The sequence below is a fragment of the Homo sapiens genome, chromosome 22 (assembly GCF_000001405.40).
Source record: "Homo sapiens chromosome 22, GRCh38.p14 Primary Assembly".
Classification (NCBI taxonomy): domain Eukaryota; kingdom Metazoa; phylum Chordata; class Mammalia; order Primates; family Hominidae; genus Homo; species Homo sapiens.
The window spans coordinates 20,241,415-20,268,612 of record NC_000022.11 but is presented as its reverse complement, the minus strand read 5'-3'; the positions used below and the strand labels follow the sequence as shown (position 1 = coordinate 20,268,612).

The window sequence follows — 27,198 nt, the reverse complement described above, 5'->3', positions numbered from 1 at the left end:
GGTTTCGTGAGGCCAGGAAGGGAGTGGGTCAGGCAGAGGCCATTCCTAGGCCTCGGGACAAAGCCCTTGCCCGCTTGGGGACCGGGCCAGCCTAGGCCGCCACACCCTCGGGCCCGCGTCCCCGGCCGGCTCCGGCCCGGGCCGCCATCCCCTCCGCCGCCTGCAGGGGCCGCCGCCTCTTCAGGAATGCGCCGCCTTTGTCTGGGACCGCGCGGCGCCGGTGCACCGGGCGGGCTGAGCGCCTCCTGCGGCCCGGCCTGCGCGCCCCGGCCCGCCGCGCCGCCCACGCCCCAACCCCCGCGCCGCCGCCGCCCTCGCCCTGTGCGCCCTGCGCGCCCTGCGCACCCGCGGCCCGAGCCCAGCCAGAGCCGGGCGGAGCGGAGCGCGCCGAGCCTCGTCCCGCGGCCGGGCCGGGGCCGGGCCGTAGCGGCGGCGCCTGGATGCGGACCCGGCCGCGGGGAGACGGGCGCCCGCCCCGAAACGACTTTCAGTCCCCGACGCGCCCCGCCCAACCCCTACGATGAAGAGGGCGTCCGCTGGAGGTGAGTGTCCGCGCTGCACCCGAGCCCGGCCGGCGGCGGGGCGCGGAGGGGGGCGGCTCGCCCCCTCCCCGGAGCCGCAGGGCCCGTCCCGGGCTGCCGAGGCGAGGGAAGCGTAGCCGGGCGGCAGGGAAAGCCACCGCAGTGCCGCGCCAGGCTGGGGCCGCTGGCGCCCCGGCCCCGGGAGGGCGGAGCCGGAGGCGGCAGGAAAAGTTGCCGCTTCCCGGGAAAGTTGACGGCTTCGGCAGGGCCGAGGGTGGCGGTCCGAGGGTCCCCGATGCTGGGCCAAGTCGAGGGCGGGGGCCGTGGGCTGGAAGGGCGGGGCCCGGCCTCGGAGCGCCCCGGCCACCAAGGGGTTAACGAGCGGGTTTTTGCAGAAACGTGGGTACCGAGGGTGGGTGGGGGTGTCGGGCCGCCTCCACCCCAGCCTCACGGTCTGGGCTCAGAACCTCCCGTTTCTCCGAGGTCAGTCCACAGTGGGATGAATGGGGGCGTTGGCGGCAGTAGAGGGCGTGGGGGACAGGGTTGTCCCAGCGCTGCCTCCAGGGCGGGCGGTGAGAGGAGGCAGCAACGCCCGCCATCTGCAGCCCGAGGGACATTGAGAGGCTTGGCTGGGGGAATCAGGGGCGGTGGGGCAATCAGCAACCCCTCCCTAGCAGCCCTCGTGGGACTCCCCCGCCCCACCGGCTGTGAGGTCCCGCGGTGCGGGCAAGGGAGGGTGGGCTCCATGTGAGTTGGGCATGCCCCGCCTGGAGGGTGCTCCCCAGGTGCCCACCCAGGCTGCCCTGCTGATGTCCATGGTGCCGCAGGCTGCACACACGTTTCCTTGCACGTGCACTTGTCTACACGGACTGCACACTTGCACACCTCTGGTGCACATGCAAGCCAACGCCGCCCCAGTGTGCACATGCACAAACACTGGGTGCACACACGGACTCTGAGGGTGCATATCTGTGTCCTCGCCCCCGCCTGCACACCCACGGCCACACATGCATGCACGCGGCATGCCTGCTGTGGTCTCCACGGGTGGCACATGCTGGGGCCCCTTTCGCAATAACCACTCCCGCACCCACATGCTCGTCTGTTGAGTGGGGAGGCCAGGCCCACAGACAGGGGCAAGACATCCTGGGCCCCACCTCTGCCTGCCTGCCTCCGTGTCCTGGGGGTCCCCGCCTCGGGCTTGTGTGCGTGTGTGTAACTTGGTATGCATCTGCACGTGTGTCTGTGCGCGTGATCATGTGTGCCTGCGGGCACATAGGCATGTCTCTTTGCCTCCAGGGTGTGGGTGCCCCTTGTGTGCCTAGACAGGCTGTGGCCTAATCTGGAGCAGAGGCCCTGGAATGTGTGTTGGGGGCTCGTTGAATACCGCAAAGCCCAGGGTGTGAGGGGCAGGGTCTCCCAGCCACTCCCTACCCACCAGGGCTGAGGCAGATAGATGATGGTGGGCTGGAACCTGTCTGGGCAGGGAAGACCCATTTCAGGCCATGAGGTCAACACTGTGACCAACAGGCCAGACCCTGGGCACCCTTGGTGGCCGCTGCAGCTTGGCTGACTGGAGCACGTGACCCAGCGTGACTGCAGAGGCCCCGCCTCCAGTGCCTCAGTTTCTCCATGGTGAGGACCTTCTTGGTGAGGGGTTCTGTGGTGGGCTCCCCTACCTCCGGTGTTGTGTAGGGTGCTGAGCAGATGGATGCCATGCTGCATGATGGGCAAGGGTGGCCCACTAGCACTGTGGCAAGGGCCCTGGGCTGGGGCTTGGATTGGCAGGCCACACCTCCTGCTCCCCTGGCCACCACCAGAGGCTCATCTATAGAGTGGGGACCAGCAGGTTATCCTTGTAGGTTGTGTGAGGGTGAAACATACTAGCAGAGGGGCAGCTGAAGCAGTGGGGCTGGCCAGTCTCTTTTTCTAAGCCTCAGTCTTCCCATCTATAAAGGGGGTACTGTTCCCTGTTCTTCTCTACTGAGGTGAGGAGGAAGTGAGCTCCCATGCCGGGGGTGGGAATGGGTGGCCATCAGCACCTAGACGCCACCTGGCAGAGGGGCACGTGCAGGGCCTGCCGTGGCAGAACCGTGACCTGGATTTGGGTCCTGGCTCAGCCACCTGCTGGCGGTGTGACCTTGGGTGTGACAGGTCGCCTCTCTGCCTCAGTCTTCCTCACCTGCACCATGGGCCAGTGGTCAGGGATTATCGGGGCACTTCCAGGCTGAGGCTGGGCGGAATTGGCCCGGCTTTCCCTGTGGAGTTCTGACTCTGGTGCTTCTGCCTCAGAATGCCCACAACACCTCCCCACACCCCCACTCAGCAGAGTCCTCCTGGGACCTTTGCACTGCCAGCTGGCCCCTCACCCCATCCATGTGCAGAAGGGACAATAAAAGCCCCTAGTCAGGCAACTCGGGCCACAGGTGAGTGGAGAGGGGACAGGGCAGGGATGCTGCCCAGCTTGGGAGACCCTCCCATAGTACCTTCACTCCCTCCCTGCCCTCCCCCTGTTCCTCACCTGGGGGTCTGTGGAACCCCTGAGCCTCAGTTTCCCCGTGCCAGGGTCCTTCTGCTGGGACTGGCAGAAACGTAGGTTTGCATGGAGTGAGAAGCAGGGGAGAGGCTGAGGGAGGGCCTGGCCCAGCACGTCTCTGAAAGCCAGAGGGCTTGTGGAGGGTCCATGGAGGACACCCCTACAGGGGCTGGGGCCCTGGAAGGTGGGGGAAGGTCCTGCTGTCCTGGGAGGCTGGGAACTGGCCCACAGCCTGTGGAGGGGCCAGGGTTTGTTTGCTGTTGCTGTGAGTGACAGGCAGGCTGTGAGGGCCAGGGTGTGTGGGACCGTGCTCTCCCCCTCCCTCTGCCCAGGAACAGTGCAGCCTTGTAGCATTGCCCTCTCCTCGTCCCTGCCCCAGCCTTGAATTCATGCTTTGTGGCACGGACGGCCCTGTGCAGCCGGTGCAACACCAGGAGGGTCCAGCTGGTGAGGACAGGACGGGCGGGAGGCAGAGGAGCCCTCCTGCTGTCCTGGGCCTGTGGCCCGGAACCTCTCACCGGGAGCCTTGGTCTGTGCACCTGGGAAAGGGGTCAAGAGCAGGAAGCACACGGGGAGTTTCAGGATGACCTGGAAATGAACAAATGCGTGTGTGAGCCAGGCGCCCCGCCCGGCCCTGGCACAGGGTTAGTGAGGGCTCCTGACACTTGGCTACTATCTGATCAATGAGGTTCATGCCGTCCCGCCCCCATTCTGGTGAGCCTGACCTCTGACCCCCAGGCTGGTCTGCCTGACCCTCTGCAGCCACCCAGGGCCTGGGCCTCAGGGTCTGCGGGAGCTGGCTTGGCCGCCTGCTGCCTCTGCAGCTGTGCAGATGCCCTCTCGGGTCCCTCTCTGCACCCCTCAGTGTCCCTGCTCTGCGGTCTGGCTGCACCCAGGCCAAGGTCACAGGCACCCTCCTCAAAGCCAGATCCCAGATGCTGCATTTGCCCCAACCATCCATTCACTTTCTCATTTGTTCATTCATTCACTCGTTCGTTCCTAGCCTGTCAGATTCTCTTCTGAGCCAGGCAAATCAAGGGGTGTGATCCTTGGCATCGGGCATCTCTAGGATTAAATGCTTTAAAGGATAGGAGGTCACAGAGTGGCCCAGGGAAGCCCGATCGGAGCGGCGGGCATGCTGCCCCACCCCACAAATCTCCCTGCACTGTCCCTGGGGCCCAGCTGGGCTCCCCCACACCAGGTGTTCTGTGCTGCCGTTTCTTCTTTTATCGCTGTATTTTAAACATTTTGCACATCGGGAACTATTCTTGTGCATCATGGGTTTTCTGGTGTGTGTGGAATCCCTTCCTGAGAATGCACCATCATTTATTTATCCAAACCTGCACCGGCCTCCTGCACTGCCTGCAGCCGTGGAGCTGGACACTGGGAGATGCAGCTCTGCACACCCACCCCACCATGTCCTCAGCTGGCACCCACCAGGTCTGGGGTCTGGTCACGTGCCTCTCCCCCGATGCTTGGGCTGATTTCAGGGGACTCGGCAGCAGGGCCAGATCCTGCCCCTCCTAGCCCACTGAGGCTTTGACAACCGTGGGCTGGCCGGGTAGGTGATGGTGAGTGAGTAGAGTCTGGGCAGCCATTTGTGCAGTGGGTGCCTTGGGGCCACCTCTCCCCTGCCTCTTTCATACAGCCTCTGGTCTTGCCTGCTATGGCCTGCGGGGCCTCTTCTGCGGGGCAGCAGGGCAGCGGGGCATGGGGTGATGCTGACACTGTTCCGCAGCTGTGTCCTGTCCGATGGAGGCAACCCACAGCAGCCAGACCAGGAGGTGGAGAAGAAAGGCAGGGCAGTTGGCACACCTCGAGAGTGGCCTTAGGAGGGGCTGAGTGGGCACAGGCCAGGGTCCCCATGTAGGTCTACACAGGCCTGGCAGGTGGAAAGCCCCATTCAGGGCCCTGGCACATGGAGCTGGGCTGATCTGGGAGTGAGGTGTCGGGTGCTGACCCAGCCTCACTCAGAGCAGCCTGCCCTGGGCCCCCGGGTGCCTCTTGGCTCTCCAGTCAGCACCCTGGCATTCTTAGCTGGCTGTCACGGGTCACGGTCCATGGAGTTGAAATTCTTTGGAATGTTGGGGGTATCACATAAGGGCTTTGTGGTCAAATGTGGGACCTGCTGGAATAAATGGTGCTGATGGTGCTCCTTTCCCGCAGGGCGTCTTGGGCCCTGTTTTGGAGAGGGGTGGGCAGCACCTTCTCTGAGAGGCACCCCTATGCGATGTACCTCAGGGCCTGGTGTGCCCAGGAACCTGTTTTGGGAAACAGTGGTTGAAGTGCCCCGGAGGACCAGAGGAGGAGACCTGTGGGCCTCCAGCAAGGGCCCTGGGATGGGTAGACCCTGCCACACAAACCCCGCACCCACGGGGCGCCCAGTGGGTGGAGGGACCACTGCTTCTCCCAGCAATTTGAGGCGATGTGCAAATTTAACCTTTGGATTTATGACTCTATTTCTTTGCAGCAAATGTCACGGGAAATGTCAGGCCAAGGCTGAGGCTGGGTGAGGGGCCCGTCAAGGAAGGGGGCAGGGCTAGGCAGGCTGGAGTGCCAAGGAGGGGCTCAGGCCAGGGTGGGCTCCAGGCCCCTCACCTCCTCCTGGGAGCCTTCCTGGATTGTCCCTTGCTTGCCTGGATCCCCGGCTATCACAACCTTGTTGAGATGTTGCCTTTATTTGCCTTCTGCCAGGGCCCAGCTCGGGGACATGCCAGAAGTCCCCCATTCCCCAAGGCTGGGCAGCCATGGGTAAGCTTGTGCAGTGCTGGCTTGCTGTGTGACCTTGGGCAGCTCCACCCTTCCTGGTCACCGTAGGCCTCTCTGCAGTCCACGGCTGGTAGCCAGAGGTGGTGTTCCCAGCTCAGTGTCTTCAAGAGTGGGAAAATGCCTAGAGTCCTCAGTGTGTGGGGTGTGGGGCTCTGGAGGAAGTGGGTGGGGGCTGAGTGCAGGTCTGGGGTTGTGGAGGGCTGGCCCTTGGTGGTCCCAGGGGCTAGAGCAGCCCCTGCACACAGCAGGTGCTCAGTAAAGACCAAAATGCAGTGCGTGGATGTGGAAGGTGGAGGTGGATTCCAGCTGGGAGTCCACAGTCCCCAGTTACATGTCCCCCCTCCGCTGCCACATGCCAGATGTCATTCCAAGGCCCCAGCCTGGCCCATCACCCACTCTGCCCTGCCTCCCAGGTCCCGGCAAGTGAGGGAATGGTGACTGCCTCCTCCCTGCCGTGTGCCCGGCCTGTGCACTGGAGCAGGGGTTCAGGCTCCCTAGTGCCCTGCATCTCTCCTGCACACACAGCTCCCCACACTACACACCTTGGGCCTCCAGATCCAGCCTGTCTGCTAGTGTCACATCCTCCGTACCCAACGTCCAAGCCCAGAGTCTCAGCCTCTTCCCTCGACCCATCCCCAAAGGCAAAATCAGTGTCAAACCTGCACCCTGTCTCCCGGTCCATCCCCTTTACTCCTCACTGAGGGCCATCCTCAGACCTGGCCTCTGTCCCCGGCCTGTGGCCACAGCCGGCCCCGGCTCCCTGCCTACCATCTTGTTCCCCACCCCGGGATTCAAGTGCTTCCCTAAGACATGTTTCCAGCCAGGCACTGCCTGCCTAAACTCCCCCATGGCTGCCCCTAGGTGAAGCTTTGGCCCCTTCGTTCTCAGGGCCTGGGCTAGAGGGTCTCATGTAGGAACCTTCTTTTCCATCCTCACCAGGGAAGCCCCCGTCCCTAGTTCCCAGTGCCTGGCACCTGTGTCTGCCTACCCCTCTCCACTTGAAGAGCCCAGGCCTAGCTTGAGGATGCAGAAAGCCATGAAGGGTGGGACAGCCACACTGGCAGGGAGGGAGGGCCCAGGCGCCGGTGAGGAGGATCAGTTGCACCTTTGTGGGCAGTGCCTGGTGCCCTTCTGTCCCTGGGTCAGCTCCGGGAGACCCCAGGGTTGGTGGCCTTCAAGACTGGCTGTTAGGTGCAGATCAGTTGGCCCAGCCGGCTGCACAAGGGTTGCTCTGTTTCCCCCGGGGAGCCACCTACCCTCTGAGCCTCCCTGTCCGCACGTGGCTATCGTGAAGCTGGAGCGGTGGTGAGTGAGCACTGCCCACAGGACCCGGCCATAGTGGCAGCTTGATTTGGGCAAGCTGGAGGCTCCTGGTGCACCTGGCTCCAGGGACCCCTTCTTCCAGGCCAGGCCCCTTGCACGCCCTTTCCTGGCCTGGACTAAACTAGCTGTGGAAATCGAGACTAGTGATTGGGGCCTTAGGGCCTTGTGGGAAGGGGTGGCAGGTCCCTCACCTCCTGGAGGCCTCCCAGGTTTTCAGCCCTTCTTACCTGTCCTGTCCTGCCCTGGGGGGATCCAGGCTGGACTCTGACCAGCCCATGTGGCCAGTGAGGATGGGCATGTGGGCCCCACTGTACTGCCTGGAGCAGGAGCCTCTGCTGAACCCTGGTGGGTACAGAGAAGGAACTGCTCTCTGGGGCCACTCCTCCCCATCGGTCCTTCTGCCGTGAGGGTCCTCGTAGGACATCCTGAGAGACACGTTAGTTCATGCCAGGGGAGCCCAAATGACAGTGGGGCTGAGAGGCTATGACGGGGTGGGAGTGGGGTGCACAGGGTCCGGGCAGGGCTAGCAGCTGTGGAGTCCGGAGGGGAGGCTGGGTGCATGTGGAGAAGTCCCTAGTTCTCAGTGAGGAGCCTACGGCGCAGTTTGGGTTCCAGCAGGAGCTCTGCCGCAGGACCTCTGCACTGACTCAGAGAGAAGTATGGGGTCCTCTGCCTTTGTTGTGTGGAGGCTTCTGTCCCGCCCTTCACTTGTGCTGGCCTTGCAGTGCAGTTGGAGAGGATGCCTCGTCCCTGACTGGTCCTTGGGCAGAGTCCTCAGTTGTGGTAGGGCGGGGTGGGACTGGGTATTGGGAGGGTGGGCCACCTGCCCCCGGGCGTGGCCCCTACCCCAGAAGCCCCTTCCACCTACCTGGGGAACTCACTCACCCGGGCCTGGCCAGCTACCAGCACGGCTGTCGAGGGAGGGCTGAGGAGCTGGCCCAAGGTCACGCAGGATGTGCTGCGCTGGTGCTCCTGGCCCCACCTGCCTCCACGCATGCCACCAGGAACCTGGGAGTCAGCCCTGGTGCCCCCTCCTTTGTGGAGCCCAGCAACGTTCCCTCCCACACACTCTCCACTTGAGTCTCCGCTTCCCTCCTGGCTCTCCCTGGACATCCAGGCCCCCTTGTCAGGAAGCATGGAGCTGGCCGGTCACGCCCTGCCCAGCCCCAGGGTCTCCTCAGGGCCTCCCGAGGGATGGGGCTGTATGAGGTGGTAGCCCATGAGCCCAGCAGGGATTGGCTTCTTGGGGCTCCCGTGGGGGCTACAGATGAGCCCCCTAGGGCCACGTGAGACAACAGCAGGACTGCCACAGTTCCCTCAGCTGGGTGCGTCCCCTGCCCCACCCGCTGGGGCCATGGGGGACTGTGGACTTGAGTGTGGCCTGCCAGGTGAACCCCAAGTGTCCCCTGGGGAGGGTCCTCCCCTCCTCATCCTTGGTGCAGTTTCAGGCACCAAGATGCACTCCCAGTGGGCCCTGGTCCAGTCCCCGATGCAGGGGAGGCCCACAGGGGTCACTTGCTTCTCCCTTCATTCTCTTAGCAAATTCTTCCTGGCATCAGTTCTAAGATAGTCCCATGCTGGGCGGCAGGGACCTTGAGGTTCTTGACATGCTCTACCCCCAAGTCCCCCAGATTCCAGGGAAACATGCTGAAGCCCACAAGGTCCCTAGGAGTGGCAGCGGGGGTGAGGTTGAGGACTCTGAGCCTCCCACATTGACCGCTCATGAAAGCCACACTGGCCCCAGGTCTGGAAGAGGAGCTGGAGCTGCTGGCCTGGGGGCTGAGGAGGCTCCAGTGTCCCCTAACAGAAGCCCAGTGGCTGCAGGACAGGCCACTGCCCGGGTGAGATGCTTGGAGGGCTCTGGGTTGGGGGAGGGCAGGTGAAGAACTTGTGGGTCCAGAGGGGAGTGGAGGGAGGGGCAGAGGCTGCGGAGGTGGACTGCGGGGCGAGCTCTCCTTGGCCCCAGCAGGAGGCTGCCTGCAGCTCTGGTGCTCCCTCGGCCTGACACATGGGCCCTGCGCACCCGGCTGCCTCCAGGCTGTCTTTCATCTCCCTGCCTCGGCCCCAATTTATGTCAGGCAGAGGCTGACACAGGGACAGGTGTGACAAGTGTCTGGCTTCCTATTTGAAAACTGGCAAAAGAAAAACTCTCCCCATAAAGATATTCCATCTACATACCTCCCGGATGTCACCGCGAGGACCCGTCATGGCTGAGACAGATGGCGGCCCTAATGGAGTCCATTCTTCACCCGCTGCCGGAGCGGAGGCCGGTCCCCTGGGGTGGCCTGAGGCGGATGATGGGTGATGGGTGGGGCACCAACCTCCCTTTGTGCCCTCCCCTATGCCTTGGCCTGTCCCCAACCCCGAGCTGCCCACCAGGGCCTCTGTCATAGCCAGGGACTCCAGGGACAAGTGACCTGGACACCTGAGGCCCCAGTGGTCCAGTGCCTCTACCCTCCTGGCTGAGAGACGGTGCACACTTGACCCCCAGCCTTGGTCCAGCGCCTCCACCCTCCTGGCTGAGAGACAGTGCACACTTGACCCCCAGCCTTGGTACATGTCAGGACCACCCCCACGCCCCACTCCTAGCTGAGTTATCACTTCCTCCGGGAAGCCACCCCAACCACCCCACCTGAAGGTGCTGCTACTGCCCCCTGCAGGCAGAGCACTCCAGGAGGCAGGGTACTCAGGATCCCCTGGCCCCCAGATCACAGGGAGCTTGATGTTGCAGGACGGTCTCCATCACTGCTTCTGGGTCTCGAGGTGATGAGGGCCCTGCCCTGGGAGCCAGGGGAGTAGCAGGCTACTCACCAGTGAATTGAGGGGAGGGGAGGGCTGCAGTCCTGCATAGCCCCCCGTGGCTCACTTTCTGCCTGGGGGTCCACCGTGTTCAACATCCTCACTTGCAAGGGGCTACCCCAGGCCCAGGGTGAGGTTGAGACCCACCCAGCCTGTCACTCATGCTCAGCCAAGCTTGTGCCCCTCCCTGCCTGAGTACTCCATGGGCAGGAGCTTATGGGCCATTACCCAGCCGGGCTCCCATGGTGGCCCCATTGGGTCTGAGGATGGACACCTTGGGCAAGGCAGTGGTGCAGACGAGGAAGGGATTGGGAAGGGGCCAGCCTCCTTAGGGGTGGCAGGGGTGGGGCTGGGGGAGAAGAGCCCCCCAGAGGAAGTGTGTCTGGGAATAGGGCAGGGCATTCTGGAGGGGGAGCTCCTTGAGCAAACGCCAGCAGGGGCAATGGCCTTGGAGCAACAGAGCCCCGGGTGGTGCTGGCTTCAGGCCTGGCGTCAGGGCCAGGTAGGATGCCAGCAGAGCACTTCCTGGCTGCAACTTGGCCTTGGAGCTGGGCTTTCTCCTCTGTGGGGTGGGGATGGTGGTCCCTCCGGGGGTGATGTGAGAAGGTCCTCCAGGGAGAGGCCAGGTGCAGGCTGCCCCATTCTTTGTGGGTGCCATGAGGTGGGCCTTATTATCTCCATTTCCAACTGAGGGAAGCAGTTCTGAGACGTTGGGGGGCCTGCCTGAGACCTCCCTAGGCAGAGCCAGGGCCCCAAGCCCTGAACTGGTTCCAGGACTGCCCTGCAGGGCCGATCACGTTGGGCAGGGACCCTGGGGTGTGGGGGCTCATGGAGGGGGCTCCTGCCACCTGCAAGACGGACTCACCCACCCTTCCACCTGGCCCAGTGTCAGCATAAGACCAAACAGAACAAACGAAAAACACTCTTGATTTTATGAGGTCATGTTCATTGTAGAAAATCTGGAAAAATACACCAAAGTTTTAAGAAAGAAGTTGTATTAGTCTGATCAAGCTGCCATGACAAAATACGATAGACAAGGTGTCCTAAACAACGGAAGCACATTTCCTGACAGTTCTGGAGGCTGGAAGTCTGAGATCAGGGTGCCAGCATGGGCTGGTTCTGGTGGAAGTTCCCTTCCTGGCTTGCAGGTAGCCACCTCCTTACCGTGCCCTCACGTGGTAGGGGATGGAAGGGTGGAGAGAGAGGAGGGCATGTACTCTCTGAGGTCTCTTTCTCTTCCAGGCCACTAATGCCATGGTGAGGGCCCCAGCCTTGTGACCTTATCTAACCGTAATCACCTCCCAAAGGCCCCGCCTCCAAATACCATCACACTGGGGGTTAGGGCTTCGACACGTGAATCTGGGGGAGACGCAGACATGGAGCTGTAACAGAAGTAAAGCTATCCATGTTGCTACTTAGAGACCGTGCCCTTGGCACTGGGGTGCTGGAGCCATGCCCCCAACCCAGGAACATCCGTTGCCTCATGGGCTGTGGGCCAAGGCTCTCTCCCAGGGCTGGACATCCTGGGGAATGCTGTCTCTATAGCTGCACAAAGCCTGCCACTTGCCCTTAGTGGTGAGCATTTAGTGCATTCACATGACTAACATTTATGGAGCACCTCCTGTATGCGGGTCACCAGCCCCTGTGGAGCCCAAAGCCCAGGGTGCCTCAACCGACAGAAACAAGCTACACAGAAGCCTGCTAAGTGGGCCAGCGAGGTGTGGAGTGGAATGGGCACCCTGGCAGTGGGCAGAAGGTGGAGGGGTGTCAAGGAGACCGTGGGAGTGGGCCCACAGAAGTGCCTCACCCAGACCCAGCCTTCCCATTTCTCAGATGAGAAACCCAGCCAAGAAGCACAGGTGGTGCCTGAGTAGGGCCATGTGACTGGGCCTGGGGGTGACCGGGCCTCCAGGCCTGCTGCAGCCATGATCGGGGTCGGAGAAGCAGCCAGTGGAGGAGTGAGCGGGACGGGGCATGGCTTCCTGCAGGCCTGGCCTGGGAGGGAGGCACCGGCTGGCTGGCTGCCCGGTGGGTTGCAAGGTTTTAAATATGCATTAACAGAAGAGGTGCTGAGGCCTGGCCCAGGGGCTGCCCTGAACAGGCTGAGTCCCTGAACCCTCCTCTGTGAGGCTGGGGGAGGAAGAAAAGGGGATGGGGCCAGGGCTGTTGTAAAATCATCAGGACAATTTTAGGAGAATGGCTTATGCCTTTGCAGGTTTGAGAAGCCACCGTGGGGTGGCCCGGGCAGGCCAGGAGACCAGCTGGGTGCTGGAGTGTCCTCTGTGGGATGAAAGGTCAGGCTGCCCAGTCTTTGGGGCTTACATGGGGGGATGAATGCAGTATGGCCTGTGCATGGCCCCCTGACCCCTGATGACCCTGTGGTGACGCCCAGTGTGGCCTTGGACTTGAGGGACCCCTCTGTGCCCTGGGCTCAGTGGCGTGGGTCCCAGACAGAGATGCTGAGGAAATAAGGCCGGACTGCCCCGCCTCCCGGAGGGCAGCTGACCCCCTTCCACTGGCCCTGCGCAGTGGGGCGGCGCATCAGCCTCAGGAAGTAGCTGAAATACACTGACCTCGTTTTCCAAGAGGCAGCGGCACCTGGGCCTCCCACCCTCGTGGATGAGAAGCCGACAACAGTTTCCATCCCAAATTGATTTCAAATAAGGAAGAGTTATCACACACAATCATATAGGAATAATTTATCACTTGTTAATAAAAGAGCAATTACTTATTCACGTCGCCGCTGCGTGCGTGCCTCGGTTTGGTTGTGGAGACGCATTGGGGGCTCTCATAGCAGCTGAGAGAAGCCCGTGTGCACGGTCAGAAAGGAGGCTGGGGGCTGCACACCCACCCCAGTGCTAGGCGACCCCTGCTGGGTGTTGACCGCACACCCCTACCCCCGGCTCCTGAGGGGCCCCAGCCTGGAGTGGGGGGCTCAGATCTGTGACAAGGAGGGGACAGGAGCGGGCAGGGGTAAGGGGAATCCAGGGGTGGGGCTTCATCACAGTGTGAGGGCTGGGCTGGGTGGGCAGGCAGGAACTCTGAGGCTGGTTCAGGGAAGCAGCTGCCTGGCCTGCAGGGAAGGCCCAAGCACAGAGTTGGGCTTTTAGGCCAGAAGCTGCCCCTTCGGGTGTCTGGATTGCAGAGTCTCTGGGGCCAAGAGCCCATAGTGTCCTGGGAGACCCAGATGTATCCTCAGCCACCCTTGGCCGAGCAGGGGACCAAAAAGCAGCATGTGGATCCTCCCTGGCCAGATGCCAGCTGCCCTGGGGCTGTATGTCCAGGTGCTCTTGAGCTCTCACTGTCCCTCGCTCTCCTCCTGCACCTTGGAGACACCTGCTTCTAACCTACATTTGTCTCCACCTTCTGGAAGATACACTTTCTTTTTTTTCTTTTTATTTATCTGTTTTCTGAGATTTTAGTGCCACATATGCAGTTGTTTTAAAAAATAATAACATTCGGTCAACAACATATTGCAGAGTTAACACCTGCACCCAGCCTCGGAGGCTGGTCTGGAGAATGGGCTCAATCTGCCCCTGCCCCGCGTCCTCCTGGGAGGCAGCCACTGTCGCCTCTGTTCCCTGGCTTTGCCAGTGGTTGCCGCCACATTTCCTCAGCTTCTACTCCAGCTCTGTCTCCTCCAGCACACTCCCCAGCATGGCTGTCTCGCTGCCATCAGTTAAATTCACAGCCAGTGTTTCCCAACCCAGGTCCCATAAATGTTCTTCTCAATCCTGCCGTGGGATGGGTGACCTTCCTTCTCTTTCATGGCCTTTTGTTTTCCTTGGGGCTTACAGTTGATGTTTTTTACCCATCCACCACCCTCATGGGCTTACTCTTCCCCACATCAGGGCTTCTATTGGGGTCTCATTTTTTTCCCTGGATAAAGATTCACCCCAAGCACTTGTCCTGCTGCCCCATAACTTCCCTTTACCACCTGTTGAAATTTCAGTTAATGCTTCCTGGGCCCCACGTTTTCCTCTTTCTGGGTTTGCACCTCATTTTGGCTGAAACATAAGCCTGACTCACTCTCTAAAGAAGATATGGTGAAGAATCATTCCGGAAGTCTTCCTGTATTTACAAGTATGTTCAAGCTGGATTGTTTCGGTCTAGAATTCCATGTTGAAATTAGTTTCCCCTCAGAGCTATGAAGCTGTTGCAGTGTTGTTGTTTCCTGGCATCTAGTGTGCTATGAAGGAGGCCAATACCATAGTGCATCTTCTTTGTTGTGTGTTTTTTTGGAGAAAGTCTCACTCTGTCACCCAGGCTGGAGTGCAGTGGCATGATCATGGCTCACTGCAGCCTCAAACTTCTGGGCTCAAGCAATCCTTCCACCTCAACCTCCCAAGTAGCTGGGATTACAGGCATGCATCACCACACCCGGCTAACTTTTTAATTTTTTGTAGAGACAGGGTCTTACTGTGTTACCCAGGCTGGTCTCAAACTCCTGGCCTCAAGCAGTCCTCCCACCTCAGTCTCCCAAAGTGCTGGGATTACCGGCGTGCACTGCTGCTCATGGCTTCGTGTTGCCTCTTTGTGACCAGCTTCTCCTCCTGGAGCTTCAGACTTCCCTTGACCCCTGGGGGCCTGAAAGTGCACTGTGAATGCCCAGTGGAGGACTGGGTACTCAGCTTTGGGAAGTTTTCTGGTATTGTTTCTTTGCTAGCTTTTCTCAGTTTTTTTGTTTTCTCTTCTGGAACTCCCCTTGGATGTTCAACCTATATTTGTCTCCCAAATCTCATTCATTTGTCTTTCTCCTTTGTTTTTCTTTCTGGAAGATTTCTTTGACCTTGTTTTCTAACACTTGTATTGATTTTTTTTTTAATTTTAGTGATTCTATTTTTAATTTCCAGGCACTCTTTCTTTTTGTCTGATGCCTCCTTGTTCATAGCAGCCTGTTCTTGTTTTAAATCCCCATCTATGCCTAGGAAGACACAAATTAGATGTTTCTCCTAATTTTTGTCTTTTTCCCACACTGTCGGCTTCCTCTAGCATCATTCTCCCTCTTTTTCTGCATTGATATGTTTTCCGGATGCCTGGTGGTCACTGGTTTTCTGGTCACTTTTATGAGGGAAGCTGGTTGGCTGCTCTGCTGAGATGGAGCTTTTCTTCTGCCCATCGGCCCTGGGTGCTCCTGGATACCAGTGGTGGAACCCCTTTCTCTGGGTGTTTCTCCAGGGGAGCAGCCTGCCACTGTGCTCCCCACTCCTCACTCTGCATCACCCTCATTTCGGTGGGTCTCTGGAAGGGGAGGAACACGTGTCTTTCATGCAGATCCCCGTGTCTAACACATGGTGGGTGAGCAGGGGAGGGGGACCATCAGTGTTGCATGAGAAGCCACAGCAACTCGACTCTGAGCACAGGCCGGGTCTCTCATGAGATGAGTCAGGCTGCACCAGGCCTGTCCTCAAGCCTTCTTTCTCTGCTGAGGCTGAGATGGGCAGAAGCAGCGAGGAAGTGGCTCCAGGTGGGTTTGTAGCACAGCCTGGCTGCTGCCCCCTCTTCCAGCCCAGATGCAGCCAGGATCCTGCCTGCCATATCTCCTCAATAAAGCAGGGCTACTGCCAGGCCAGGCCAGAGTGGCCTTGCAAGACCGCTGGAGCAGAGGGGTCCGTGTGGCTCTGGGACGCTGTGAGCTGTACCTTGCCTCCCTGGACTCCTCACCTGAGACGAGGCTGACCCAGGTCACATTGGCAGGCCTCTGGGGAGGCAGGATGCTGGGTGGGGGCCTGGGTGGGGTTTCTTTGGGGTCCTGGGGGGAGGTAGGTGCTGGCCTCTCATTGTCCTCACATCACTGGTGTGGGGACAGATTTGGAGGGGGCTGGCAGATTCTCTGCCTACTCTGTGAGGGGGTGCAGAGGCTACATCTGAGCCCAGGGCTGCAAGACCCCAGGGCCCACTTTCAGCCATCCCTGGGAGGGCAGCCTCCTGGGCTGAGGTTGAGGTGCCATGGGGGACTGGGGAGCCCAGAGTGGCTGCCCCTCCCTGCTGTGTCATCCCTGGGGCTCAGGGTCTGCTCTGGTCGCCTGGGGATGATGATGGTGATAAGGATAGTGGTGATGAAGATGGGGGTGGGCAGAGATCTTGGAGTCCAGATTGTGTGCACTGTCTCCTGGCCTTGCAAGGTGGCCAGCAAGGCACTTGCCTCAGTCAGTGCCTCATCTGAGGAGTGGGTTGGCAGTCACCCCCTCACCGTACAATGGGAGGATGCAGCACAGGGATATCCTGAAACCTCCAGGAATGAGGAAAGGCTGCACCTTGGGCTGTCCCAGGGAGGCGAGGGGCCCTCATTTCTTACTCCCCATCCCTTGTCCTCTTCCCTTCCCCATCCTTGGGCCAGGGCCTCTGCCCAGGGATATCTGGTGTCGACCCAGTACTGACCCATTGCTCACCTGGGGCTTCCTATCCTTGTGTGAGGTCAGCCCCAGGCTGCCCTTTATCTAAGGGCCTTGCACAGAGCTGGTGTGATGATAGTGATGATGACGGTGATGATGATGAAGACGATGATGGTGACAGGGATGAGGATGGTGATGATGATAGTGATGAGGATGCTGATGGCGGTGATGGTGATGAGGACGATGGTGATGATGAGGATGGTGATGGTGATGATAGTGATTGTGATGAGGATGGTGATGATAGTGATGGGATGATGGTGATGAGGATGAGGATGGTGATGATGGTGATGGTGATGGTGATAGTGATGAGGATAAGGATGGTGCTGCTCTGGTCGCCTGGGGATGATGATGGTGATAAGGATAGTGGTGATGATGATGGTGGTGATAGTGATAGTGATGATGGTGATGAGGATGGTGAGGGTGATGAGGATGGTGATGATGATAATGATGGTGATAGTGTTGGTGATGATGGTGTTGAGGCTGGTGATGGTGATGAGGATGGTGATGAGGATGATAGTGGTGGTGATAGTGATGGTGATGATGGTGTTGAGGATGGTGATGGTGATGATGATAGTGATGGTGATGATGGTGTTGAGGATGGTGTTGAGGATGGTGATGGTGATGAGGATGGTGATGAAGATGATGGTGGTGATAGTGATGGTAATGAGGATGGTAATGATGATAGTGGTGGTGATGATGGTGATGATGCTGCTGCTGATGATTATGGTGGTGATAGTGGTGGTGATGGTGATGAGGATGGTGATGGTGATGATGAGTATGTTTACAATGATGATAACAAGGACAGAAAATGCCTCCACAGCCTACTTTTCCTTCACAATCTTGGCTATGGGTCTGCAGGAGCATCCAGGCCTGAGGCCGTGGAGGGTGGTCCAGGGCATCCTGTTTGCAAGGAGGGACCGCACTCCCTTTCCTCTCTTGTTTCCTGCACCAAGTGTTCTCATCTTTAATATTTCTTTGTTATTAACTGTGAAGATCCCTTTAGCAGAGGCTGGAATCCTGATGTCCTGGGAAGTACATCGACACGGATCTGCCCAGGTCACCTCTTTCCAGGCCCTGTCCAGCCCAGGGAGGCAGCTTGATGTTAATGGGTCATAAGCCACCTTGGTGTGACCTGGCCAGAGTCCCTGATACAAGGTGCAGGGAGAGGCCTCGGCCCAGCCTCTGCAGGGTTCCAAGGTGGGTGGACTGGCATGGAGGGGCCCTGTCCCCAGAGACCCCCTACCTCAGTTAAACGGCTGCCCTCTTCAAAACTACCTGCACTGGATTTGTCTCCTCTGAAGTGCCACCCAAGTCCTTTCCTCCGAAGCCGGACTGTGTCATTCAGCACTTCCTCTGCTGTCCCCCTCTCCTTACAACCATTTTGTTCTCTTTGTGTGTATGTGTGTGTGTGTGTGTGCATGCATGTGTGTGTGTGTAATCCCAGCTACTCAGGAGGCTGAGGTGTGAGCCACCCCTCCCAACTTATTTGTGTTAGGTTGTCCTATTTTATGCATATTTGACTGTGAGACTCCTGACAGCCTCTTTAGAAAAATGATCATTTCTGTTTTGACCTGCAGAGTATTTCAGTATTTCTGAGTCTCTTTCTTGCCTAGAACCCCTCACCCTAGGCCTCCGTGAGATGCTGACCTTGCCCAGGTCTCCACAGAGCTGAGCCTGCACTGAGGTTGCTGGGCTCTGTTCACCTGGCTATGTGACTTCAGCAGGACCGTGGTCTTCTCTGACCCTTGGTTTCCTTTTCATTAGTGGGGGTCTGAGTGAACTGCTGGGGCCATTGTGAGGGTGAAGGTGGCAGCACCCACACTCGGCTTGCTCACAAACCAGGTCGGCAAACTGTTTGTGTGAATGGTGTGATACTAAATAATTCCAGCTTTGTGGGCCACACAGTGTGTCATAACAACTCAGCTCTGCTGTTGTTGCGGGAAAGCAGCCATGGACAATGCGTGAACACATAGGTGTGGCTGGCTGCCAATAGCACATCCTTTACAGAAGCAGCAGCCAGCCCTTGGGCCAGTTTGCCAGGTGCCAGTAGAATAGGAGGCCAAGGCCTGTCGGCTCTGACAAGGGTTCCACTCTGGCCCCCGGACACGGAGCTCTGGCCTTGGCTGGGGGAATTCCAATGGGAACATCCCAGGCTGAGGAGGATCCTCTCCTGCCTCTTAGATTCCTCATCCCCTGGGGAGTGCTGGATCCCACTGGCCCTGCCTGGCTGAGCTTCTCTGTGGTCTTAGCAGGCACTGCTTATGTGCCGTGGGCCAGCTGCTGCCCCCAGCTCAGTTTCTAATGTGAAGGGCTGGGCAGTCCCTGGGATGGCTCCAATGGGAGCCTGTCCAGCTGCTGTTCTGCTGACTGAGGCTGATCCAAGGCTGCTGAGAACAAGCCGGCAAGAGCCTCAGGACCCACACGTGTCTTTTCACAGCAGAATAAATTCTGCTCGGACAGAGGCCGCTCGCCTGCCTGGTTGATCATGTTTTACAAATGCTGAGGGCAAGAGAACACATGGGGATGTGCCTACACATCTTCCTCTGCCGCAGCGGCATGCAGACCCTCCAGCCGGGCCCTGGCTCCTGGGAGGGGCTCGCATCCCAGCAACCCTCTACTGCTCAGTGGACTCTGCCTGAGCCCTGACCAGCCCTGGGGGCTCTTATTGTGTGTTTCCGGTATGCACGCCTATCGTGTGCACCCCCAGGGGTCCCATTGCATGCACTGAGTCTGTGCTCCTGGCTCGTGCACCCTGAGCATGTGCTCTTGTACTTCCTCCTGCCCTGTCAAGGCCGACACTCTGGGCTCACAGGCAGTGGTCAGCCTTGTGCATGCAGCAGATCCAGGGTCCTGGGGGAGTGTGGGAGGGCTGGGGCTTAGGTCTGGATGCTAGCCCATGGGAGTGGATGTGGGCCCTGCAGGGCTAGGCACCAGGTAGCGGGCAGGGTCAGGCAGGCAGATGGGCATGGGAGGCAGGTGTATGGCAGTGCTGGGCCCAGACCTGGCTCAGAGTGCGTCCCCAGGGTGGGAGCAGGCCGGCCACCGGTCACTTGCTCATTAGTGTCCTCTGGGGACTCAGCTTGCTCTGGCTGCTGGATTGAATTAGCTGCAGGACCAAGATGAGCCCTTGGTGGAGACAGGATTCTCCAGATAATTAGGCAGCAGGTGTTTGTTGGCTCCTGGTGGAGCATGGAGGAGCAGGTGGGCTCAAGCCTCCTGTGGGGCAAGGGGGCACTGGCTGTGCCCTGGGCTGGGCGAGGCCTCCACTGGGCAGAGCCTCCAGGGGCCCCCAGTGTGGGGCTCACTGGGGTGGGAGCCGAGGAGGGTGCACCTCCAGTGAGGGGTGTATGGGCTGGATGGGGCAAGGTTCTGGAGCCCTCCACGCAGGCAGCCCAGCATTGACCAAAGATGAATCCTCGAGGCCTAGGTGCTAGGCCAAGGATCCTGCCCACTTGGGGCTCTGCCAAGACCCTTTGGCTGGTAGTGGGCTCCTGGGCTCCTGCCAACATCCTCATGCTGCCTGGGGCTGGCTCAGGCCTCTGTGGCTCCTAACTCTCCCATAGGGCACCTGCCATGCAGCAGGGTGGCTGCCCGTGGTCAGCTGGCCCTGGACCGTGAGTGCCTGGGACCCGGCTCCTCGGCCTGGTCTTGTATGGGCGGCACTCAGCACAGCACCTGGGACAGGGGCCACTTCACACCTTGCCAAGGTACGGAGGGAGGGCCAAGCGAGTGGATGATCCTGCACGGTGTGGCCCACGTTGATGTGTCCTTGGGGTGAGGGTGCCATCCAGGGCTGCCAGCTCTCACCTGGGCCAGGCCATCCTCTGCTAGCTTCAGTGTCTGTGACTTGAAAGGTGTACCCTCTCAGGTGCCCTGCTGGCTGGAAACAGGACTGTGGAGCTCAGGTTAGGAGCGGGGGTGGCTGAGCCTTTACTGCCCAGCAAGACCTTTTCGCACCCCTGGGGCCATGAGACTGGGAAGCCCGCTAGCCCTGGGGCTGTGGCTTCTCCTGCTTTACTTGTTATTATTTTTCTGATAATATCTTTAATTGCAAGATTTTGTGTACTTTTAGGCATGTTTCTTGTAAGTAGCATATGGTTGGATTTGACCTTGGATTGTGTTTGCTATTGATTATACCCACACCAGTTCTTATGTTCCTCATTTGTAAAATGGGTCAATAAACTTGACACCCCCTCCAAGAGAATTTGCTGGATTGAAGGGCCCAGCCTCTGGCCTGGCCTGCTGGCCCTGGACCTACCTACATCTCGTTGTCTCTGGTGAGCCCAGCATCACGGGGCAGGGACGAGCCCTGCCGGCCAGGGCAAAGAGTGGAGCCGAGGGGGCTGAGGAAGCACTAGGCACACTCAGGAGGCCAGTCCTGAAGGCTCTGCCCACACTGGGCCTCAGTTTCCCCCACAGCATGTAGCTAGCTAGGCCTGGAGCTGCTTCAGTCTGGGTCCAGTGACCTCTCACCATGGCAGGTGTCCTTGCCTGTTATTGACCTGGTCTGCCTACCCTGCCCCTGCAGCCAAGATCAACAAGGAGCAGGGGCCAGGGCCAGGGCATCAGGGGCTGGTACTCACTTCCCTAGGAGACTCAGGACCCCTCAAGGGCAGACTGCCCCCACCAGAAGCTGCTGCCAATCTCCTGCCGCAGCACCTGGAGCCCTGGAAGGGCACAGGAAACACCATGGGAATTCTGGCTGCCCCTGCACGTGTCTGTGGGCCTGAGGATGGATGGCGGGTGGGTGTACATGTGAGAAGCAAGCGAGGATCGGGGGACAGATGGGTGGGGGGCGGGGGGAGTGAGTCAGTGGTGGAGGGCCAGGAGTGGGGAGCAGGCGTGGGAGGGGTGCCCTGACCCTCTGTGGTGTGGGGATGACATAGGCCCGCCACCCCCGCCTGGAGCTATTTCTGGCCTTGGTGCACTGAGCTGTGGCCTCCTGTTCTGCCTCATAACTGTGGTCTGTGACGTGACCGCCTGACGGGGACATGGCTGGTGTCCGAGAGGATCCTGAGCTGACTGATGTCCCGGCTGTGCTACAGCTGGTCCCACCCCCAGCCCCAGCCCTCTGCAGCCTCTTACCCCAGCCCTGGGAAGCAGCAGCTCAGAGCCTCCCTGGAGATTCCCCTCCCGGCCACCCATGACACAGGAGGGCGCTGCCTGCCCCTCTGCACGTGGCCTGCAGCCCAGCCCCTCCACACCCTCCCCCATTACTAGCCAGGCCGCCAGCCTTCCTGCTTGGGCAGGACATGCCTCGTGGCCCCTCCGGGCAGCACTGTGAGTGTCTCCCTTGGCCGCCTCTCCACCTGGGTAGTCTGGAGTGGGAGCAGGGCAGGGCTTAACCACTCACTGCCTCAGTTTCCTAATCTGTAAATGTATTGCTGTCTCACTTTTTATAGCAGGTGATGGGACCCTCCGGTGATCCCAGCCCAGGGGCGGCATTGGGGCCCGAGGGCACCAAGCTGTGCGTGGATGAAAGCCGGTGCTCGGCGCCTCCACAGCTGCCTGCCCTGTGCTGCCTCCTGGCATCGCTGGGCAGAGGCAAAGGCATCCCTGTGGAACTTCAGCCCAAGCTTGGGAGGGCACGGAGGTGGGCGGGGCCCCAGGAACAGTGGGGGCCAGGGACCACATGAAGAAGGCCATCCCTGCTCGGCTCGGCTCAGCTCCCTGGGCTGCTGGGGTGAGCTGCTGACCTCAGCAGCCGCCTGCCTGCCCAATGGCTGGGCATATCCCCAGAGCCTCCCACCGCCACCTCCCCATCCCCCTTCTCCACCCCTCCCCTCTGCTCCTGCCCTCCTCGCTCTCCTCCCACCTCCTCCTCCCCCCGCCACACTCCCTCCTGCAGTGAACGTGAACAGCCCTCCACTCACCAGAACTGATGGTGCAGGTGCCCACCTGGGCTGCCTGTTGCTCCCGTCAGGGGGATGCGTCCTGGACTGTTTGCTGCCCAGCCTCCTGGGCCTTCAGCCTGGTGATCCTGGGTCCTACCCTGCCCAGTCTGGCTGCCGCAGGGAGAGGCTCTGGGTCAGTATCCGGTCACTGTCCCCGCTGGGAAAGCTCAGAGCCTTCCAGGCAGGAGAGCCAGCCCTCCCCTGACTGTGGCTCCTGAGCCAGGCCTGGGCTGAGACAGGAGCTCCTAGCTATGACCCAGCCCTGACAGCCAGCAGGGCCATCCTCCGGGGAGGTCCCAGGAGGAGACCCTGGAGGAAAGAAGAGATGTTAATTGGCCTGGGAGGGTGGGAGAGGCACAGATGTACCAGTTTGTGTGCAGCTTGGAGGCTGAGGAGAGCCCTCTGGGGCCCTCGCAGGCTCAGGTGGCCGCAGGGCCAACCTGGGTGGGGACGGTGGACAGGCACGCTATCCATGGTTTCTCTGTGAGAGCTGGGGCCATGGCAGGGCTGGTTGCTCACCCCGTGTGCAAGGGGCAGGAAGGACAGAGCTCATACTGGAGGCTCCGTGAGAACTGGGGCCAGGGTGAGACTGGGTGAGAGTGGAAAGTGGGGTGATGGCAGGCAGGGAGGCCATGCTATCTCCAGAAGGACAGTAGAGCATCCTATTAGAGTTGGCCAGGCAGATAGAGGAGAGAGAAAGGTGGGCGAGAGGGCCAGAGAGGCCTTGTGGCCTTGAGGCTGCAGAGCCCAGGGGACAGGTCAGGGGCCACGGGCCAGGGAGGTCTTTTGGGGTGGGGAGGGGCTGCAGTCCACCATGGGGCCAGGGAGGAGGCTGGTGAGTCACCAGTCTGGCCCCTGGGATGGGGTCAGAGGACACCCTCCCCCCACCTGGCTGCGTCTCCCTCATCCCAGGGCCCCGGCTGTGAAGACAAACCCATGCTGCAAAGTTGGGTTTGATTATCTCATAAAAAGATGCCCCCTCCTGCTCGCTCAGCAGAGGGGTTGCCATGGAGACCAGCGGGCAGGCCCCAAGGGGGGCCAGGCTGGAGCCAATTACCATGGCTGCAGCGAGGAGAGAGCCCACCTCACCCGACTCTCAGAAGTTGGTTTACGAAAAGCAGTTGTCTCGGCAGGAACCGAGCCGTGTCTTTGCGCCCAATACCCACTTCCTGGCAGAACTGAGCGCCACGTGGCCACTCCCCCATGTCCTCCCCTGTCTCCCCCGACCCCGCACCACCGTGTGGCTCAGTTCTGGCACCTCACTGGGGGCATGTTTAGAGTGGACACACAGCTGCTTCGGGAGGGAGATCCATGAGCACAGGGCTCGGTTCAAGGCGAGTGAGCTGAGCCCTGACCACAGCCAGACTCACAGCCCACAGCTTCGGGCCTGGAGCCACAGGACAGTGGTGGGATGGTGGCATGGCTCAGTGGTAATGTGGCGGGCGTGGCCACCATGGGTGGCTAGTCTTGGTGGGTGCAGTCAGCCGCATGGTATGGTTGGTGACAAGGCTCAGTTGGTGACCCCCACAGTCAGTGGTGTGGTGTGGTCGATAATGTGGCAGTGAGTCCTGACCCTGCCCCATGAGCATGTGGGGCCTCCACCCCACCTGGCCCCAGGACAGGAAGTGCCATTTACATAGCACAGTTTTCCCTCTGGTGACAGCAGGTGAGACAGCAGTGGGGAGCTGACATGGTCAGGCCCCACCTTCCTAGGAAGAGTGTGTAGAAAGAGAGCAGAGAGGGTGTCCGCAGTTTAAACAGAACACGAGGCCAGGTGCTTTCCTCACCCAGCCCACCCAGGGAGGGGCCTCCGGACCCCCATCCCTGGGCTGCCATCTCCCTGGTAGCCAACAAATGGCCCTGGGGCAGGGGGTTTGGCAGAGGAGGCCCCCAGGCTGTGGGGAGGGGGTCTGAGGACCTATGAACCTGAGTCTGGGAGGACGCACATGCCCAGCGGTCACTGCGCGTGCTGGGCTTGCTGGGCTCTGCGTTTAGGGCGACTGCACTGTCTGCCCAAGTAGAGAGGACCCAGTGGGGCAGGGGCCCCATGTGGGTAGGAGGGCCCCAGGGTCACAGTTCTAGGTTGGGGAAGCTGGCCTGTGGTCCACTCCTTCCTCCTGCCCGGCTCCAACCCCAGCACTTAGCCGGCCTCATGTCTGCAGAATCCTGCTCTTAGCCAGCTGCCGTGGAAGGTGTTAGCTGTCAACGCAGGTGTTAGCTGATAACTCAAGTGTTAGCTGATAAGCCATAACCTTCCCAGGGGGATTCACATTTTAATAGACTCACTGCTGAAGGCAGAAAGAATCTTCAGCATTCCAAAGGGGTGGGGGCTCAATGGTGGAATGAGAGGCAGGAAAGCTTACTCCGGAGTGGGTGACCCCGCTGGTGAGACCAGCTCTGGATGCGGCACCCCGGGAGGGACTACTGCCCATGTAGGGCCTTGGTGAAGCCCCAGGTGTATCTGGCCCTGTAATGGAGGAGGGGTTGCAGGCACCTGGGGCTGGGGGAGAACCCACTGGGAGGCTATCCCTGCTGATGGCGTCTGGGTGGGAGGGGTGCAGGCAGCTGGCACTGCAGGGGTTGGCTGGGGAGGAGTGAACTCCTCCCAGGGAGGAGATGGAGCAGAGAATGAGGCCAGGGGGCGGAGGCTTCAGGAGGGTTCCTGCCAAGTCAGGAAGTGCTTGAAAGGAGGATGTGTGGAGGAGGGAGCAGGCTGCCTGGGTGGTTGTGGGACGCGACTCCTCCTAAGCCCTGGACACACTTGCCCTCCACCCCCGCCCTCGGGCATCCAGGCGCCCGTTTTTGAGATAGACGTGCCCAGAGGGACCCCAGCCCCATTGCAGTGTTTCCTAGGCCCTGTGGGTGGAACCCCCACTGGGACCCCCCGGGGACTCCTGCAATGCGGGCTCTGTGTTCACTGGAGTCCTGAGGAGGTACCTGCAGTCACCAGTGTCCATTCCAGGAGGCCTTCAAGTGAGTGCCCCTGGTGACCCAGTGGGCTGCTCCTGGGTGTGGTATGGGGAGTCTGCAGATGTGGCTTCCAGGGTGGAGTGCATGGCTCCAAGGCATGTTCTAGCCCAGCATCGTCCATGAGGCCTGTGAAGCAGGGATCCCAACACTGCGATTCCCGGGGGTGGTGGCCACATCTTGGACCCAGCCCCAGGTCCTCCTGAGACCCAATCTCCGGGGCCCACCTGGCTCTAGCAAAACCTCCAGCTTCTCCAGTACCCCTGCCCTTCCTGCTAACCACTCTGTCTTCTGCCCACAGGGAGCCGGCTGCTGGCATGGGTGCTGTGGCTGCAGGCCTGGCAGGTGGCAGCCCCATGCCCAGGTGCCTGCGTATGCTACAATGAGCCCAAGGTGACGACAAGCTGCCCCCAGCAGGGCCTGCAGGCTGTGCCCGTGGGCATCCCTGCTGCCAGCCAGCGCATCTTCCTGCACGGCAACCGCATCTCGCATGTGCCAGCTGCCAGCTTCCGTGCCTGCCGCAACCTCACCATCCTGTGGCTGCACTCGAATGTGCTGGCCCGAATTGATGCGGCTGCCTTCACTGGCCTGGCCCTCCTGGAGCAGCTGGACCTCAGCGATAATGCACAGCTCCGGTCTGTGGACCCTGCCACATTCCACGGCCTGGGCCGCCTACACACGCTGCACCTGGACCGCTGCGGCCTGCAGGAGCTGGGCCCGGGGCTGTTCCGCGGCCTGGCTGCCCTGCAGTACCTCTACCTGCAGGACAACGCGCTGCAGGCACTGCCTGATGACACCTTCCGCGACCTGGGCAACCTCACACACCTCTTCCTGCACGGCAACCGCATCTCCAGCGTGCCCGAGCGCGCCTTCCGTGGGCTGCACAGCCTCGACCGTCTCCTACTGCACCAGAACCGCGTGGCCCATGTGCACCCGCATGCCTTCCGTGACCTTGGCCGCCTCATGACACTCTATCTGTTTGCCAACAATCTATCAGCGCTGCCCACTGAGGCCCTGGCCCCCCTGCGTGCCCTGCAGTACCTGAGGCTCAACGACAACCCCTGGGTGTGTGACTGCCGGGCACGCCCACTCTGGGCCTGGCTGCAGAAGTTCCGCGGCTCCTCCTCCGAGGTGCCCTGCAGCCTCCCGCAACGCCTGGCTGGCCGTGACCTCAAACGCCTAGCTGCCAATGACCTGCAGGGCTGCGCTGTGGCCACCGGCCCTTACCATCCCATCTGGACCGGCAGGGCCACCGATGAGGAGCCGCTGGGGCTTCCCAAGTGCTGCCAGCCAGATGCCGCTGACAAGGCCTCAGTACTGGAGCCTGGAAGACCAGCTTCGGCAGGCAATGCGCTGAAGGGACGCGTGCCGCCCGGTGACAGCCCGCCGGGCAACGGCTCTGGCCCACGGCACATCAATGACTCACCCTTTGGGACTCTGCCTGGCTCTGCTGAGCCCCCGCTCACTGCAGTGCGGCCCGAGGGCTCCGAGCCACCAGGGTTCCCCACCTCGGGCCCTCGCCGGAGGCCAGGCTGTTCACGCAAGAACCGCACCCGCAGCCACTGCCGTCTGGGCCAGGCAGGCAGCGGGGGTGGCGGGACTGGTGACTCAGAAGGCTCAGGTGCCCTACCCAGCCTCACCTGCAGCCTCACCCCCCTGGGCCTGGCGCTGGTGCTGTGGACAGTGCTTGGGCCCTGCTGACCCCCAGCGGACACAAGAGCGTGCTCAGCAGCCAGGTGTGTGTACATACGGGGTCTCTCTCCACGCCGCCAAGCCAGCCGGGCGGCCGACCCGTGGGGCAGGCCAGGCCAGGTCCTCCCTGATGGACGCCTGCCGCCCGCCACCCCCATCTCCACCCCATCATGTTTACAGGGTTCGGCGGCAGCGTTTGTTCCAGAACGCCGCCTCCCACCCAGATCGCGGTATATAGAGATATGCATTTTATTTTACTTGTGTAAAAATATCGGACGACGTGGAATAAAGAGCTCTTTTCTTAA

General features: G+C 60.6%; 1 protein-coding gene and 1 non-coding gene across 2 annotated transcripts, besides 12 other annotated features; both read left to right on the top strand.

Moving 5' to 3' along the window:
* Positions 32-91: a silencer, noted in NCBI's record as "silent region_13487". NCBI's record gives its function as "represses an Ori minimal core promoter by ATAC-STARR-seq in GM12878 lymphoblastoid cells {active_cell/tissue: GM12878}" and the evidence as "EXISTENCE:reporter gene assay evidence [ECO:0000049][PMID:35858748]".
* Positions 142-301: a silencer, noted in NCBI's record as "silent region_13486". NCBI's record gives its function as "represses an Ori minimal core promoter by ATAC-STARR-seq in GM12878 lymphoblastoid cells {active_cell/tissue: GM12878}" and the evidence as "EXISTENCE:reporter gene assay evidence [ECO:0000049][PMID:35858748]".
* On the top strand, positions 295-27,198 carry RTN4R (reticulon 4 receptor). Its single transcript, NM_023004.6, has 2 exons — positions 295-542; positions 25,503-27,198. Exons 1-2 carry the CDS (start codon positions 521-523, stop codon positions 26,900-26,902), a joined length of 1,422 nt encoding a protein of 473 aa, NP_075380.1. The 5' UTR covers positions 295-520; the 3' UTR covers positions 26,903-27,198.
* Positions 392-551: a silencer, noted in NCBI's record as "silent region_13485". NCBI's record gives its function as "represses an Ori minimal core promoter by ATAC-STARR-seq in GM12878 lymphoblastoid cells {active_cell/tissue: GM12878}" and the evidence as "EXISTENCE:reporter gene assay evidence [ECO:0000049][PMID:35858748]".
* Positions 763-1,451: an enhancer, noted in NCBI's record as "H3K27ac-H3K4me1 hESC enhancer chr22:20254685-20255373 (GRCh37/hg19 assembly coordinates)". NCBI's record gives its function as "activates a minimal SCP1, AML or CMV promoter by ChIP-STARR-seq in primed H9 embryonic stem cells {active_cell/tissue: H9 hESC(primed)}" and the evidence as "EXISTENCE:reporter gene assay evidence [ECO:0000049][PMID:30033119]".
* Positions 11,866-12,410: an enhancer, noted in NCBI's record as "H3K4me1 hESC enhancer chr22:20243726-20244270 (GRCh37/hg19 assembly coordinates)". NCBI's record gives its function as "activates a minimal SCP1, AML or CMV promoter by ChIP-STARR-seq in primed H9 embryonic stem cells {active_cell/tissue: H9 hESC(primed)}" and the evidence as "EXISTENCE:reporter gene assay evidence [ECO:0000049][PMID:30033119]".
* On the top strand, positions 19,402-19,479 carry MIR1286 (microRNA 1286). The gene has a single exon (NR_031618.1). It is a non-coding gene; the product is annotated as a microRNA 1286 (primary transcript).
* Positions 19,842-20,443: an enhancer, noted in NCBI's record as "H3K4me1 hESC enhancer chr22:20235693-20236294 (GRCh37/hg19 assembly coordinates)". NCBI's record gives its function as "activates a minimal SCP1, AML or CMV promoter by ChIP-STARR-seq in naive and primed H9 embryonic stem cells {active_cell/tissue: H9 hESC(naive and primed)}" and the evidence as "EXISTENCE:reporter gene assay evidence [ECO:0000049][PMID:30033119]".
* Positions 21,155-21,264: an enhancer, noted in NCBI's record as "active region_18675". NCBI's record gives its function as "activates an Ori minimal core promoter by ATAC-STARR-seq in GM12878 lymphoblastoid cells {active_cell/tissue: GM12878}" and the evidence as "EXISTENCE:reporter gene assay evidence [ECO:0000049][PMID:35858748]".
* Positions 21,155-21,761: a biological region, named in NCBI's record as "H3K27ac-H3K4me1 hESC enhancer GRCh37_chr22:20234375-20234965".
* Positions 21,171-21,761: an enhancer, noted in NCBI's record as "H3K27ac-H3K4me1 hESC enhancer chr22:20234375-20234965 (GRCh37/hg19 assembly coordinates)". NCBI's record gives its function as "activates a minimal SCP1, AML or CMV promoter by ChIP-STARR-seq in naive H9 embryonic stem cells {active_cell/tissue: H9 hESC(naive)}" and the evidence as "EXISTENCE:reporter gene assay evidence [ECO:0000049][PMID:30033119]".
* Positions 21,275-21,324: an enhancer, noted in NCBI's record as "active region_18674". NCBI's record gives its function as "activates an Ori minimal core promoter by ATAC-STARR-seq in GM12878 lymphoblastoid cells {active_cell/tissue: GM12878}" and the evidence as "EXISTENCE:reporter gene assay evidence [ECO:0000049][PMID:35858748]".
* Positions 24,849-24,898: an enhancer, noted in NCBI's record as "active region_18673". NCBI's record gives its function as "activates an Ori minimal core promoter by ATAC-STARR-seq in GM12878 lymphoblastoid cells {active_cell/tissue: GM12878}" and the evidence as "EXISTENCE:reporter gene assay evidence [ECO:0000049][PMID:35858748]".
* Positions 25,314-25,906: an enhancer, noted in NCBI's record as "H3K4me1 hESC enhancer chr22:20230230-20230822 (GRCh37/hg19 assembly coordinates)". NCBI's record gives its function as "activates a minimal SCP1, AML or CMV promoter by ChIP-STARR-seq in naive H9 embryonic stem cells {active_cell/tissue: H9 hESC(naive)}" and the evidence as "EXISTENCE:reporter gene assay evidence [ECO:0000049][PMID:30033119]".

Bases quoted from the DNA above. Each gene is read 5' to 3' on its own strand.
- RTN4R (NM_023004.6), top strand. From the start codon at position 521: ATGAAGAGGGCGTCCGCTGGAG. The intron at 543-25,502 runs GTGAGTGTCCGC...TTCTGCCCACAG, and splicing joins GAAGAGGGCGTCCGCTGGAG to GGAGCCGGCTGCTGGCATGG.